The sequence below is a fragment of the Homo sapiens genome, chromosome 18 (genome assembly GCF_000001405.40).
Source record: "Homo sapiens chromosome 18, GRCh38.p14 Primary Assembly".
Classification (NCBI taxonomy): domain Eukaryota; kingdom Metazoa; phylum Chordata; class Mammalia; order Primates; family Hominidae; genus Homo; species Homo sapiens.
The window spans coordinates 3,128,154-3,145,203 of NC_000018.10; the positions used below are offsets into that span (position 1 = coordinate 3,128,154).

The following is a 17,050-nucleotide window of genomic DNA, read 5'->3' on the forward strand; positions in this document are numbered from 1 at the left end:
ATTTATCTCTTCTCCACTTACCAACCTCCTTTATTCCTCACATTTTAAAAAAGCTTTCTCTCTCTCCCTCTATTTCAGAGCATTGTTGAATATGTGCTCTCAAATGAATATCTCCTCTCGAGTTGAGGGACAAAGAAAGGTGTCATAAAACAGAGGAGGTTATAGAAGTTGGGGTGGGGTTAGAAAAAAGAACTGGATGAGAGGCATTTAAAAATTTATCAGCACATGTGCTTCAGTTCATTGTTGTTTGATAGGAAAAACAATGTCTCCTAGGATATATTAGCCACAGGTACCAAATATCCTAATCAGATCATTCTTAGCCTACTGATAAATCATCTTAAATAAATCACTTCTGGGAATGAGGATCATATATCATACAATATAGCTATATGTGATTATAATTTTAACTTTTAAACTTTTCATGGTAACTCAAAGATATATTTATAGCTGTTTTTTTCTTTTCTTTTTTCATTTCAAAAAGTAGTAGGTAAGTAGCTATTTAGATTATTATTATTTTAGAAATTTTTAATCTTTTTATATACTTTTTTCACTTAAAGTATTTAATTTTCCAGTGTTGATTTTTCTTGCAAACTATTTAAATTAAATGTGAATAATCGCTTAATAATCTGAGGATGAGCAAGAAGGTAACAACTATGACCCTGGTACGATGTCACCTTCTTTGTGAGATCTTTCTCCTCTACATGTTCCAAACATGACTATTTCAAAGGACCTCACACAGGCTAGCAGTACCAAGTCCTGCTCTCACATCGAATTCTCTTAGCAAAATCAGGCCAGAGGTGTATCTGCCTGACAAACCAAGAAAGGCTCTATAACCAAATTACTTGAAACATTCTAGCATCATTAAGCACCCAAAATGATGTGTACAAGCCAAACCCATAGACAATTACTTTTCCAAGTCATCAGATGAAAGTACACATTTCAGATGGCTAGCTGAAAACACATACAATAAGAATGGACATTGATGAAAGCAAACATGGATGAAGGATGTGATGTAGACGATGAGAGGTGAGGACAGTGATGGAGACGGATGGAACAGCTTCCCTTTCTCAACTCTCACCTCTGTCTGTCTTCTTTTTCAGGGGGTCAGACTTACTTTTCCCCTGAGGAGCCGCTTTCTGTGGTGGCGGGGTAAGCTCTTCCTGAACTGTTTCACTTACTTTACTCACTTCTGTTTGGCCCAGGTTTTGAGAGCTACTGGGTAGTGAAGGTTTGTTAGGTTTGCTGCCAAGCAAAGCATCTTTCTGGAAGGTTGGCGGGGAGGCTTCATGCACGCGCCCCCTGGAGGCGGTTAGTCCACCAGGCTCATCGCTCAGTGCGGGACACACATCTGGAGACACTCCTCCCCCTACAGTTGCCAGACAACAACAGAAACGCATTGAGCCCGGACAGAGTATCAGCTGCTCTTATAGGATAGAACAAAGAGAAAAACATTAGGACCACAAGCAGAACAAAAACAGTCTTGGCTTAAAGAAAATCGCTCACATTTGCAAGAAATATGGAAAGACTACATTTCACACAATATACGCCAAGGAACATTTCACCTTCCCCGTATTCTGGAAAAAGAAGAAATGAGAACAAAGAAGCCAAAGATAGAATAGGAACCATTTCGATTTGCAGAACCCAAAGGGCTTTTAGTATATATAAGGAAAAGCAAATCTTAGACACAAATATTGAGAGATGTAAGCCCTATTATTCAACAGAATGAAAAAAGGACTATAAAGTGCACAAGAGACATCATATTAAAGATCCTAATTTTATAACACCTCGAATTATGTGCAGTACTACAATAGTAATGGTCTGTACCTCTCAACCTCAAAGAGACATGTTTAGAATGGTTCACATTATAAGGAATCTTCCTTCCTTCGTTTTCTTTCTTCTTTTTTTTTTTTTTGGAGTCTCACTCTGTCCCCCAGGCTGGAGTGCACTGGCGCAATCTCGGCTCACTGCAACCTCCACCTTCTGGGTTCAAACAATTCTCGTGCCTCAGCCTCCTAAGTAGCTGGGATTATAGGCATGCACCACCATACCCGGCTAATTTTTGTATTTTCAGTAGAGACAGGGTTTAGCCATGTAGGCCAGGTTGATCTCAAACTCCTGACCTCAAGTGATCCACCCGCCTTAGCCTCCCAAAGTGCTGGGATTACAGGCGTGAGCCACTGTGCCCGATCCCTATGTTATAAGGAATATGAAAAAGCTATATGAGATGCTAACTGAAGACAATCAATATTAAATCAGCTTTTTAAAAAACATGCGTTACTATATAATAAATTTTATTTTATTTATTTATTTATTTCAGACACAGGATCTTGCTTTGTTGTCCAGGGTGGAGTGCAGTGGTGAGATCATAGTTCACTGCAGCCTTGAACTCTTGGACTCAAGTGATCCACGTGCCTCAGCCTTCTGAATAGCTGGGACTACAGACATGCACCACCATGCCTGGCTAATTTTTTTTATTGTTATTTTTAGAAATGGGATTTCACTATGTTGCCCAAGTTGGTCTCAAACTCCTGGACTCAAGCAATCTGCCTGCCTCTCCCTCCCAAAGTGCTGGGATTACAGGTGTAAGCCCCCGTGCTCAGCCCACAAATATTATTTGTATTGTTTCTAACCACCTGGGTCCCTTTTCTACTTTATCCAAGATTGGGAGGTACATCACATACACACATATAATTACTTTATTACTGGTTTTATTCTGTTGGTTACTTTGCAAGCAAAGATGAAACATATGATTAAGCAATTACATGTGCCTTGCATGAATTTTAGAGGGGTTTATAAGAAGCATGTTAATGTTCTGTTAGCAAAAACAAGCCAGGCTCTGGCATAGACCAAATGGCTTTTAGGGACAAGATGATCTGTGTTATGGGTGATATACCACTTCATGGAATCGGAATGGCCCTTCACAGTCCCAGGATGAGCATGAAGTTAGAATGGAGTTTCACACAATGTGAAATATCTGAGGAAACTTGGGTTCGTGAAGATGAAAAGGCTATGGATGCACAGAATCTGGATAAGTGATGAAGGTCTGTAAAATGGCAGCTATGGAAGGTTAGACATCACCTAGAGTCAGAGAAAATGATCATCTAAGGATGCAATCATCCAGCAATATTGGAAGCTAAATAATTTCTGGAGAGGATGGTATCTTCCTTTCTAACATAGAAAAATCCATTTTTCCCCCATACAGTTATGCATAAGGAACTTACCAATAGCAGCTTTGACTTCAATAGCTTCTGAATCCTGGGAATATTCACTAAGTCCAGCTGCATTGACTGCTCTGACCCGGAAAATATAACTCTGACCAGTCACTAATCCATGACAAGTGAATCTAAAAGGAAAACAAGTTTTAAAAAATTTTCCTAGGAGGAAGATTAAGGAAGATGATTGTTAGCTTAATGGAGTGGATCTGGCTTTATGAAAACAATTCTTTTTTTTTTATTGTGATTTATTTTGAACAGAAATGGGGTCTTGCTGTGTTTCCCAGGCTAGTCTTGAACTCCTGGCCTCGAGCCATCCTCTCTCCCACCTCAGCCTCCTAAAGTGCTGGGATTACAGTTGTAAGCAGCATGCCCAGCTAATAATTCATTTTTTAAAGGAAGAAAAAGATGTAGAAAGATTCAGGTAATATATATACTTTAGACAAGAAGGTAACTAAGGCACTTTTCTAAACCCACTCTGTCAAAAAATGAGGAGCCCTGGTCTTCCCCAAATGCTCACCAGTAAAATAGGGATAATGATGCTTACATGATAATTTTCATGTAGAGGTTAGTTATAAAGTATATAAAGTACCTATATAGGGCCTGGCATATATGAGGTACTTAATAAATAATAATTAGTATTAAAATTATTAGTATTAATATTATTATATATATGTATATATAATAATAATATATACATATATAATAATATATATGAGTTATACTCTAAAATTATTATTATATATGTGTGTGTATATATATATATATATGAGTTATACTCTAAAATATATATATATATATTTTGAGACGGAGTCTCGCTCTGTTGCCCAGGCTGGAGTGCAGTAGTGCAATCTCAGCTCACTGCAACCTCCAACTCCCAGGTTCAAGCAATTCTCTGCCTCAGCCTCCTGAGTAGCTGGGACTACAGGCACCCACCACCACGCCTGGCTAATTTTTTTGTATTTTTACTAGAGATGGAGTTTCACCATCTTGGCCAGGCTGGTCTTGAACTCCGACCTCGTGATCCACCCACCTCGGCCTCCCAAAGTTCTGGGATTACAGGCAAGAGCCACCAAGCCCAGCCAACTCATATATATTTTTTAACTTTTATTTTAGGCTCAGGGATACATGGGAAGGTTTGTTATATTGGTAAACTCGTGTCACAGGGGTTTGTTGACGGATTATTTCATCACCCAGGTATTAAGCCTAATACCCAATTAATAATATGATCAATGACTATTTTAGGTATATAACTATGGCTGTAAGGCATTGGTGGCTCCTTGTCATAGAGGCCTAGTCACTGTCTCGCTGCATGCCAAGGAAGGTACTTACTTGGGAAATTACTATAGAATCTGAAGATAAGGTGAACAATGGATTCTAGAATTACCATTTAGATATGAAGATTCAATAATGAGGTGTGAATCCATGGGAAGTTTCATCCATAAAAACAACCTAACTCTTTTCATAGCTATTATGGCTATAAATAGCTGTTTCATGAATCACTGTAACATTTGAATCCATCCTAAGGACTGCAGCCAGAGGAAATAACAGGTCTGCTAACGAATCTATGACTATTCGCATGTTCAAGTATTTAACAAAGGAGCCATAATCTAGGCCAGCCCTTCAGTCCTTAGAGTCAGCTTTGCTTCAGCAAAGATTTATTGGGGTCTCGGTGTTCCAGACACTGAGTTAGGTACTGTGGACAAAAGATGAACAAAAAATGGTGCCTGCCCTCTAGCAGCTCCTGCCTACGCACCACCAGCATTTCTGAATAGTCCCAGGAAAATGCTGGGTAACTCCAAGGAAAAATGAAATACACCAACAGGCTAAATGAATCTCTTGCAAAACATATTGCCTTCCCTAATTAATCATTTATCTCTACTCTCTCACGTTCCGCAAAACCAACTCATTCTGTTGGGGTCCTCGGACTGAGAAGTGATCCAAGCCAGAAGCTGCCGAACGAGTCTATTTGACAATTTCTGGGAGGGCAGCATCCCCCTCTCATACTGGTCTCTGGTCTGGGTGCAGATCAGAATTCACCATCAATGTGCAAAGCTGATTGATAAAATAGTTGAAAGCAAGGAAGAAACCAACCCTCTCCCCATTAGAAACAAATACAAAGAGGCAGCAAATTATTCTGAATGTCTTTGTTTTGGTGTAACTATGTCTGCTTAGCACTGGGTTTAATCATGTTGATGTCCAGAATTTGTAAAATTTCGATACTTTTTTCTCTTCATTTAAAATTCCTGGGTAATTTATGTTAAGTAGAGTGTATTATATCCTCAGAATCTAATATCACGTTGCATATTAGATATAAAATCAGAGGGGTAAAAAAGGAAGAAGCAGCAAAAGCACTATGAAATGAACTCTTACAATAGTTGGCATTATGTGTTGCTAAGTGTTTAACATCATAAGTGAACCTTTTAAAAAAAGATGTATTGCATCTAATGTGTTCAATTTTAAATTCATTTAAATATCTAAAGTGTAATTGTTTTGTTTTGCTTGTTTGTTTTTTGAGACAGGGTCTTGCTCTGTTGCCCAGGCCAGAGTACAGTGTTGTGATCATAGCTCACTGCAGCCTTGATCTCCCAGGCTCAAGGAATTCTCCCACTTCAACCTCTTGAGTAGCTGGGACTACAGCACACCACCATGCTGGGCTGATTTTTGTATTTTTTGTAGAGGCAGGTTTTCGCCAGGTTGCCCAGGCTGGTCTCAAACTCCTGGGCTCAAGCAGGTCTCAAACTCCTGGGCTCAAGCAATCCGCCCACCTTGGCCTCCCAAAGTGTTGAGATTACAGGCATGAGCCACCACACCCAGCCTTGTTCTGTTTTGTTTTTTAGAGATGGGGTCTCCCTATGCTGTCCAGGCTGGCAGTGGCTATTTACAGGCCTGGTCATTGTATCCTACAACTTCAAACTCAAGCTGTAGTTGAACTCAAGTTGAACTCAAGCTCAAGGGATCCTCCCTCCTCAGCCTCCTGAGTAGCTAGGACTACAGGCCTGCCACTGCCTTGGCTTATTTAAAGTATAATGTTTTCTTGTTTTTTTTTTCAGTTTGTAAAGATAGGGTCTCACTGTGTTGGCCAGGTTGGTCTTGAAATCCTGGCTTCAAGCAATCTTCCCACCTCAGCCTCCGAAAGTGCTAGGATTACAGGTGTAAGCCACCACATCCAGCCAAAAAGTAAAATTTTTTAAAAAAATCTCCTCCATTGGATGTCTGTGTGCCGTATGTGTCTATGGCAGCTCCAGAGGCCATTGCCCGCCCTGCACACCCGACTGAGTTACCGTGAGCCCTTCACGGGGTTGTTGTTACAGGGCTCCCACTTGCCAGAGCCAGCAACGCTCGCCTCTATGTAGTACCCGACCAGCTCTTTGGCATCTTTGGACTCCTCCCACGAAACTACCACTGAGGTGTCTGTGTTTCTGCTTGGGATGATTTTGCCAGGAGCCTTGGGGATATCTGAGAAAGAGGAAAATGGTGATCAAACTCAAGTGGTTTTAAAAATTCATCCTTATCATCTATGCACAAACACACACCTAGGTATTTTACACACTTCGTCATGTCAAAAGAACAGCTGCTTTATTTTACGATTTTTTTTTTTGAGACTGAGTCTCGCTCTGTCACCCAGGCTGGAGAGCAGTGGCGGGATCTCGGCTCACTGCAGCCCCCACCTCCTGGGTTCAGGCAATTTTCCCACCTCAGCCTCCTGAGTAGCTGGAATTACCAGGCATGTGCCACAACGCCTGGCTAATTTTTGTGTTTTCAGTAGAGATGGGGTTTCACCATGTTGGCCAGGCTGGTCTCAAACTCTTGGACTCAGGTGATCTGCCTGCCTCGGCCTCCCAAAGTGCTCAGATTACAGACATGAGCCACCGCGCCTGGCCTACATTGTATTTTTTAAAGCAAAAAATTTTAAAACAGTTAGGGAGCATGGATAAACTAAATGTCCATGAACTTCAGAAAAAACACATTATCAATATTGTTGAAACTCCCAAAGAAGTTTACTTTTCATAAACAAAAATAATGAATTTTTGTTTAATGTATAGGTTAAGTACAGCCATCGAGTAAATTTATAATATGAAAGAAGGATGTCACCATTTTTACTCCTGGCCAAATATACATATACTAGATCCTTGCTTTGAAATTTTCTCTTGAAGTAAAAGAAGTTTACAGTTGCTTACCAAGTTTGTCCCCTACCACAGTCACCTCCGTTGCCTCTGAGGGCTCACCAACTCCTGCAGAATTAGAACAGCGGACACGGAAACAGTAGGATTTCCCCTCGGCCAAGTCAAACAGAGCAAAGCGGGGAGACTTCACAGGGAGCTCCGTGTTCACTCGCTGCCAGTTTTCTGTTCCTGCCTCACACTGCAGCAAGAACAGGGAAACCCATTGAAAGCACAGCAAACACAAGCGAGAATCCAGGCCAGGCAACTCCAAGTTTCATTCATCTGCAACAAACCACTCCCTGTAATGCAAGCTGGACTGGAGGAGAGATGAGGAGGAAATAGGGGATGAGGCATCTGAAGTTCGTAGGATTCTCTAAATCAAACTTGGCTTTTGATACGGTTTGGCTGTGTCCCTGCCCAAATCTCATCTACAATTGTAGCTCCCATAATTCCCATGTGTGTGGGAGGGACCTGGTGGGAGATAATTGAATCATGGGGGCGGTTTCCCCCATACTGTTCTCGTGGTAGTGAGTAAGTCTCATGAGAGCTGATGGTTTTATAAGGAGAAACCTCTTTCACTTGGCTCTCCTTCTGTCTTGCCTGCCACCGTGTAAGACGTGCCTTTCGCCTTCCACCATGATTGTGAGGCCTCCCCAGCCACATGGAACTGTGAGTCCATTAAACCTCTTTTTCTTTATAAATTACCCAGTCTCTGGTATGTCGATCAACAACATGAAAATGGACTAATACAGCGTTGTATTGTTTGAAAAATATGCTACTTTAATATTTCTCTTCCTTTGTTAACTAAATACAATAATCTGCTTACAAAAGTCTTATTTTGAGGATCGTTTGGGGTCAGGTAATTTTCTAATTTTAATTAAATTAAATTAAATTTTATTTTATTTTATTTTTGAGACAGGGTCTTACCCTGTCACCTGGGCTGGAGTACAGTGGCACAATCACGGCTCACTGCAGCCTTGACTTCTTTGGGTTCAAGTGATCCTCCCACCTCAGCCTCCCAAGTAGTTGGGACTACAGGCACATGCCACCACACCTGGCTAATTTTTGTATTTTTTTGGTAGAGACAAGGTTTCCCCATGTTGCCTAGGCTGGTCTCGAACTCCTGGGCTCAAGCGATTCACCCACTTCAGCCTCCCACAGGCATGAGCCACTGCACCTGGCCTGCCCATTACCTATTTAAAAGAATTCTTGGTCCTTTTCTTATCACTCTCTGTTTCTTAGCCTGCTTTATTCTTCTTCAATCATGTATCACTATTTGAAATTAAGTTATTTGTTGTCTCCTCCACTGAAGAGCAAATCACATAAGCTCAAGGAGCTTTGTTCACTGCTTTATGACAGAGCATAGAATTCCATCTGGCAAATAGTACATAATCAACTACAGTATTTTTTTTCTTTCTTTTTTCTTTTTTTTTTTTTGAGACGGAGTCTCGCTGGGTCGCCCAGGCTGGAGTGCAGTGGCACAATCTCGGCTCACTGCAAGCTCCGCCTCCTGGGTTCACGCCATTCTCCTGCCTCAGCCTCCCGAGTAGCTGGGACTACAGGCGCCCCCCACCACACCTGGCTAATTTTTTGTATTTTTAGTAGAGGGGGGTTTCACCGTGTTAGCCAGGATGGTCTCGATCTCCTGACCTCGTGATCCGCCCACCTCAGCCTCCCAAAGTGCTGGGATTACAGGCGTGAGCCACCATGCCCGGCCCAGTGTTTTTTTTCTAAATGACTGAAAGATGAAGATGTTTTTCTACTATATGATCCAGCAATCCCACTGCTGGGTATCTATCCAAAAGAAAGAAAATCAGTATGTCAAGGAGATATCTGTACTCCCATGTTTATTGCTGCACTCACAAAAGCCAAAATATGGAATCAACCCAAGTGCCCATCAGTGGATGAATGGATAAAGAAAATGTGGTAAATATGCACAATGTAATGTTATTCAGCCACAAAAAAGAATGAAGTACTGTCATTTGCAGCAATATGAATATAATTGGAGGTCGCTAAGTGAAATAAGTCAGGCACATAAAGACAAATATCTCATGTTCTCATTCATATATGGGAGCTAAAAAATTTGATCTCATGGAGGTAGAGAGTGGAATGGTGGTTACCAGAGGCTGGGAAGGGTTGGGGGTGGTGGTGAAGAGAGGTTTGTTAGTGGGCACAAAAATACAATTAGAAGAAATAAGTTCTAGTGTTCAATAGCACAGTAGGGTGACTATAGTTATCAGTAATTTATTATATATTTCAAAATACCTAAAAGATAAGATTTGGAATTTTCTCCACAAAAATGACAAATGTTTGAGGTGATGGGTACCCCAATTACTCTGATTTGATCATTACACATTGCAAAGATGTATCAAAATATTCAGTGTACCCTGTAAATATGTGCAATGATTGTGTATCAATAAAAACCAGATTAAAAAAAGATGTTCTCTTTTTTTGCCCAAGTCTTAGAATAATTAATGGGAAAATTAATTTTTAATGAGACTCTATTCTTAAAATTAAAATGATTTAGAGTGACTTGGAAATCCTCGAATGAAGGACGTGGTGTATATTTGAGCTCTGGTAGAAGATACAGTAACAAAACTGTCAGAAGTCTTTGGTAATCCTTATTCCCTCCTATTTTAATTTCCAACTTTGCCCATGGTTGGTAAGAGAAGAAATTTAGAAACTCTTGCCTGATTTCACTACAGAATTTTGTAACGTTTTCAAAAGACTTTTCTGAAGTCCAGATCTCGTGACAGGTTGACCAGCTGTCAGGATGGTACATTTTTGGGACTTTAAGTTTATCAGTCCACCACACAGGATGATCTTCGTTGACTTGACAGACAGGCAACATGGCATGGCATAGAGGAGACAAAGGGATGGGATCTGGTCCCTTTGTGTTAATAACAAGCCACGTGACCTTGGAAAGCCACACGCATGCTCTTGGCCTTGGTTTCGTCTTCTATGAAACGAGCAAATTTGACAAGGTAACCTCTAAAGTTCCTTGCAGTGTTTTTTATGATAACATTATCTTTTGTGTGTCTGCTGTCTCCTGAGGGACGAAACTCTCTCAGACCTTTAATCTTTTCATTTATGGCTTTGATTTCTTTTAACATATTCCACCCTGGCAAATTCTTAAGCTGTTATCAGTTGTTTATACTCTCATAAAAAAATAGCTGCCTTTCACTGTGCCGAAAACTTTATAAGCCATTATTACTCTTTACTCCTCTCAACTATGCCATGGAGTAGGTATTGTGGAGGTAGTATTGTATGATTGTCAACGTTTTCCAGAGGAGAAGACAAGCCTGGGAAGATTGAAAGGTGGCCCAGTGTAATAGTTGGATTTACGCACCTGAACCAGACTGCTGGGGTTCAAATCTCAGTTCTGTGTTTTACCAGCTCTGTGACCTCGGGCAAATTATATACCTTTCTATGCCTCAGTTTCCTCATCTACAAAATAGGCATGATCTGCCAGGCACAGTGGCTCACAACTATAATCCCAGCACTTTAGGAGGCTAACAGGGGAGGATAGCTTGAGCCCAGGAGTTCGAGATCAGCCTGGGCAACATAGGGAGACCCCATCTCTACAAAACACTTAAAAATATACAGGCATGATGAAAACAAAGATATTTACCTCATAGGACTACTCTAAGAATTAAGTGGGTTAACTCATGTAAGGTGCTTAGAACAGTGCAAATCTTGGCTATGTTCGTTCCTGCTGTTAACGAGTGATACAGTCCTTGTCTCTGACACGACCAGATTTTTGATAGGGGAGTGAGAAAAAGAGCTCAAGACGTAAGACACCTGAGGAAAAAGTTTGGGTGTAAAAAGAACACAGTAGGATGGGGAGGCTGGAAGTGCCAAGGACTGATTTATCTGAGTCCCTTGCTATAAACCCTTCAATTTCACCCATTCCAGGGATCAAGGACATGCCGTGAAGAAGAACAAGCACAGCGGTGGCCCAAGAGGCAGCATGCTGGGTGCAGGGCATCCTGGAACAGACGCAGCAGGGACAGGAGCACACAGACCTTTTCCCTTTAGAAAGGTTAGCATATCAGAACAGCTACATCAGAAATAATTTTAGCCTCAGCTCAGAACAGTTTGACATTTGGATGGTTCTGCAAATGTACCCCAGGTCCCTGGACGTGCTCTGTGTCCTCAATACCCAACATCCTGGGTGTTCTATGCCCTGTGCAGGCCTCCCTACATAGTACTGTGTTCATAAACGTCCCCTTCTGTTCCATGCCAATAGGTGTGCTGGGGGAAGAATATTTAAATTTTTAATTACAAACTCACAGGTATTTAGGTCGAGGGAAGTTATAGACTTCCACAGAGAAATTAGAGTTTATATGACCAGAGGAAAAGTTCAACAGAAGCCAAAGTTGACTCATCTGCAGAAAACGCCTCCAAATAGTTGTTATGTGCCCTTATTATAGGAAAGATGGTAACTACTGTCACAGAGGTTATTCAGAACCTTCTTCCTGTGGAGTGTTTCAAAGAGATTCAGTGGGGGTGTGTATTAAACACACTAGGAAATGAACATTGATCCACCACTCTATTTTTGCCATCTATTTTCTTTTAAAAAGCTTAGAATGCAGCCGGGCGTGGTGGGTCATGCCTGTAATCCCAGCACTTTGGGAGGCTGAGGCAGGAGGATTACTTGAGGTCAGGAGTTCGAGATCACCCTGGCTAACATGGTGAAACCCTGTCTCTACTAAAAATACAAAATTTAGCCAGGCGTGGTGGCTCACGCCTGTAATCCCAGCTACTAGGGAGGCTGAGGCAGGAGAATTGCTTAAACCAGGGAGGCGGAGGTTGCAGTGAGCTGAGATTGTGCCATTGCACTCCAGCCTGGGCAACAGAGTGAGGCTGTCTCAAAAAAAAAAAAAGGCTTAGAATGCTACTCAAGTTATATTATATTTGAAGCTGATATCTGGAAAGCATATAAAAATTAAATATTGTCTTTGTAAAACAAGACTCTCTTGGAAGATATCCATATTGCATGTAGAGGAGATAAGGCATTCATTGTTACTGATTTGCTAGGAATAAAAAGGAAGTAAAGAATGCAGCTCAAAGATATTTGCATATTGTCTTTATGTTGTTACCTAATTTTCAGAAGTTTGCATACACCTACATACCTATGAAATGTATTCTCTTGCAATAATTATCAGGGAAGGTGACCTAATAGGTGTTACAAAATTGAATGATCAAAACAGTATTAAGGATAAAAGAGAAAGACCTTTAGGAAAATTAACTGAACACCATATTTTTATAAAAAAAAATTCTACGATTTTGCTATGAAACTAAAATGTAAAGTAAATGATACCTTTTCATGCTATCACACAATTTTATAAAAATAAAATTTAAAAGTACAAACACTTGTTTCATTTATTGTTCTAAAAAATGGTGCATCACTACCAATAAATGTTCTTACATATGGGATAAAATAAACTTATTTTCTTTCATTTTCTCAATTATATCCTAATCAGAACCTTTTTAACAAATGGATTTTGAACCTCATTTTAAGCAAATTCTCTTTAAATGTCGTTTTCCAGTAGCAATGATCCTGTTAGCCAAGGACTTCTTACCCCCACTAAGACCTGTGCCTTGCGTGGCCGGCTCTCCTATTTCTACACTTGTGGCTGAGTCAGTTCTGCCGAAATAATGTTCTGTACAGGTCTTGGCTCTTCTCCATTTGTTGGGCATAAATCCTTATCAGAACTACCCTCAAATACGGATATGTGTTTGATTCACATACCGTTCTCCTTCATTCCACCCATTCTGGGCCTTCATTGCATGCTGTCCTCTCTAATGTTCTAATTCCTGACATAATTGTAAGATATCTGGGAAAGAACTTGCCAATATTTATTGTTTTGTGATCCCTGACCTCATTCCGCTACCTGTACTCAGAGTGGAGCTAGCCAAGTGCAGTGGCATGAGGTTGCTGTCTTCCACACTCCCGGCCATTTGAGAGTATTGCCCCTTCTCCGTTACCCCCTCCCTTCTAGCCTCACGATGTTCATGTCCTACTACAGAAGGAGGAGTGGTAGAGAGATGAAAAGCCATTACCAAAGCAAGGGAGACAGGAAGGTCTCTAGAAAACATTGTCATACAGGCAATCTACCATTTCAGGAACATTTCTCTTCTTGTAGGTGCTATGATGTTGGGTCTGGATCTCTTAGGAGTCTATGGGTGAGTCTTGGGGATCCATAAACCCCTTGATTTTCAGGCACAGTTCTGTGTGATATACTTTGTTCTATGGAGACAGTTCACAGTTGATAACAATCTAGTGAGATCAGGACATGCTCCCTCCTCCTCCCTCACTCCATTGTCCCTGGGAATTTAGCCTCCACTTTTCTAAAGAAATCCTTAGGAGGTAGTATGAGGTCATGTTGATTCTAGAGTCTTACCTTTTCCACAAAGTACATAATGCCCTCATGACCACGCTGGCCAGGGGGCTTCCAGCTGAGCACCACATAGCTCCGGGTGGCCTCAGTGACAGAGAGGTCTGTCGGGGGGCCAGGCACAATACCCTCTGAAAAACAACAAGGAAAAATGAGAAGCACACATTCTGGGTAGCCCAGGATACTCAGAGAGCCAAAGACGCTGCTCTCCTCCTGAGGAAGAGTTAATTATGTCTCCACAGTTTAAAGAAGTACCTTCTCTCTAAAATTCCCCCAAAACATCATTCATTCATTCATTCTTCAAATGCCATTGAGCAGTTGCTGTTGTTTTGGTTTTTTTTGGAGGGGGGGAAGGGTTTCACTCTATCACCCACGCTGGCATGCAGTGGTGCAATTATGGCTCACTGCAGCCCTGACCTTCTGGGCCCAAGTGATCCTCCCACCTCAGCCTTCCAAACAGCTGGGACCACAGGTGCACACCACCACACCTACATAATTCAAAAAAAAATATTTTTTTTTGTAGAGTTGAGGACTCCCTATGTTGCCCAGGCTGGTCTTGAACTCCTGAGCTGAAGTGATCCTCCTGCCTTGGCCTCCCAAATTGCTGGGATTACAGGTGTGAGCCACTGCAGCCAGCCCCATTGCTCATTTAGAATATAGAGCTAAGAATCTAGGATACTCTTCTTATCTTTAAATAGTTCTGAGGCCAGGTCAGGAGTGTTCGGGTGAAAGCAAGGACAAACTTCCAGAAGCACCCAGATCCCAGAAGTCCCAGAGCATCTAGAGTTTAGAGCCACATGAACCCTCCACAAGCAGGATTTACCCTGGCTCAGATATGAAAATAAGCAGGGCACAGAATCCTATAAGCAGATAGGCAGGAGCCAAGGTCCCAGTGGAGTTGAGTTTATAGTTTTAGTAAAGTTTAGGACAGTTTTAGTTTACAGTTACAGTAAAGTTGGTCTTATCAGGCAGGGAGGGAGGAGACTGGAAATACATAGACTCCAGAGGTCAAGAAAAATAATGGGGTACAGAAGAAATATTTAAAGAAATAATGATGAAAAATTTCCAAATCTGATGAAAACTACGAACTCACAGATTAGAGAAACTTGCAAACCCTATAAGCACAAGATATATGAAGAAAGCTACACAATGCATATCATAATCAAATGCTGAAAAAACAGTGATAAAGAGAATATATTAAAAGCAGATAGAGAAGACACATTATATATTGAGGAACAAAAATAAGAATAAAAGCAATCATTCTTGTAGTGTAGATCTGCACTATGCTGGACAAAGCTCTTAAAGTACTGAGAGAAAAAACTGTCAACCTAGAATTCTATACTCAGTGAAGATATATTTCAAGAATGAAGGTAAAATAGAGGATTTTTTTTACATAACAAAAGATAAAATACCTGCACTACGAGAAATGTTCAAGGAAGTGCTTCAGGTGAAAAGAAAATCATATCAGATGGAAATCTGGATTTAAACAAATAAATGAAAAGCAATGGAAATGATAAAAATGTGAGTCAATAAAGCCTTTTTCTTACATTTTGTATCTCTGAAAGATAATTGACCACAGTCAAAATAATAATATCGTATTGTGTAGTTTACCATAAATATGCAAATAAAATGTATGACAATAACAGCACCAAGGCTAAGAGTGGGAAATGGAATAATACTGTTGCAGGACAGGCACGATGGCTCATGCCTGTAATCCAGACACTTTGAGAGGCCAAGGCAGGTGAATCGCTTGAGCTCAGGAGTTTGAGATGAGCCTGGGCAACATGGTGAAAACCCATCTCTACAAAAAATACAAAAATTAGCCAGGTATGGTGGTGTGTACCTATAGCCCCAGCTACTTGGGAGGCTGAGGTGAGAGAATTGCTTGAGCCCAAGAGGTCGAGGCTGCAGTGAGCCATGATCATGCCACTGCACTCCAGCTTGGGCAACAGAGTGAGACCCTGTCTCAAAAAAAAAAAAAAAAAAAAAAAAGGCCAGGCACGGTGGCTCACACCTGTAATCCCAGCACTTTGGGAGGCCGAGGAGGGTGGATCACAAGGTCAGGAGATCAAGACCATCCTGACTAACACAGTGAAACCCCATCTCTACTAAAAATACAAAAAATTAGCCGGGCATTGTGGCGGGCATCTGTAGTCCCAGCTACTCAGGAGCCTGAGGCAGGAGAATGGCATGAACCTGGGAGGCGGAGCTTGCAGTGAGCCGAGACTGCAGCACTACACTCCAGACTGGGCGACAGAGCAAGACTCCATCTCAAAAAACAAACAAAAAAAGGCACTGTTGTAAATTCTTACACTACATGTGAAGTAATATAATATTACTGGAAGGTAGACTGTGAAAAGATGTATATTATAAATTCTAAACTACTAAAAAGCAAAATAAAAAATCATAGCCAACAAGAGAATACAGATAAAATGGAATAATAAAAAATACTCAATCCAAAAAAAGTAGAAAAAGAGAAAAAATGAAACAAATAAATGGAATAGATGGAAACCAAATAGCAAGATGATTGATTTAAATCCAACCATATCAACGATCAGATGAAATGTAAATGGTTAAAACACCCCAATTAAAAGGCAAAGATTACCAATTTAGATTTTTAAAAAGCAAGACCCAAATATATGCTGCCTATGAGAAACACATTGTATTAATATAAAGGCACACATAGGCTAAGTGTAAAAGGATGGAAATAATATACCATGCTAACACTAATCAAAAGAAAGCTGGAATAGCTATATTAAAAGTAGATTTCCAAGCAAAAAAACATTACCATGGGTAAAAGAAGTCATGTTATAACAATAAAGTGGTCAATTCATAAGAGGATATAATAATAAAAATGTTAATACATCTAATAACATCCCAAAATACATGAAGAAACTGGTAGAACTGCAAGAAGAAATAGATAAATGCACCATTTGGTTGGCTATTTCATCACTACTCTCTCAATAATTGATAGAACATGTAGATATTAGCAATAGTAAATAATTATGGATCTAAAAGACTTGAGCAATGCTATCAACTAACTTGACCTAATTAATATTTATAAAACTCAACAATAGCAGAATACTATGCTTTTTGGCTGGGTGTGTGGCTAACGCCTGTAATCCCAGCACTTTGGGAGGCTGAGGCAGGCAGGTAACCTGAGGTCAGGAGTTCGAGACCAGCCTGGCCAACATGGTGAAACCCCATCTCTACTAAAAATACAAAAATTAGCCTGGCATGGTGGTATGTGCCTATAATCCCAGCTACTCAT

The 17,050-nt window shown here is 40.7% G+C and overlaps 1 protein-coding gene across 7 annotated transcripts in view; it reads right to left on the reverse strand.

Moving 5' to 3' along the window:
* The window catches only part of MYOM1 (myomesin 1), a 180,570-nt gene that overhangs the window by 61,347 nt on the left and 102,173 nt on the right, over positions 1–17,050 (reverse strand). For 3 of the 7 annotated variants that reach the window (XM_047437910.1, XM_047437909.1, NM_003803.4), the window contains 5 exons: positions 13,786–13,910; positions 7,394–7,577; positions 6,497–6,671; positions 3,222–3,343; positions 1,079–1,366 (listed from right to left, as the gene is read on the reverse strand). In XM_047437910.1, the coding sequence (XP_047293866.1) occupies positions 1,079–1,366; positions 3,222–3,343; positions 6,497–6,671; positions 7,394–7,577; positions 13,786–13,910 (894 nt within the window). The remainder of the gene's footprint in view (positions 1–1,078; positions 1,367–3,221; positions 3,344–6,496; positions 6,672–7,393; positions 7,578–13,785; positions 13,911–17,050) is intronic. The other 4 variants (XM_047437911.1, NM_019856.2, XR_935071.3 and 1 more) reach the window with 3 other exon arrangements.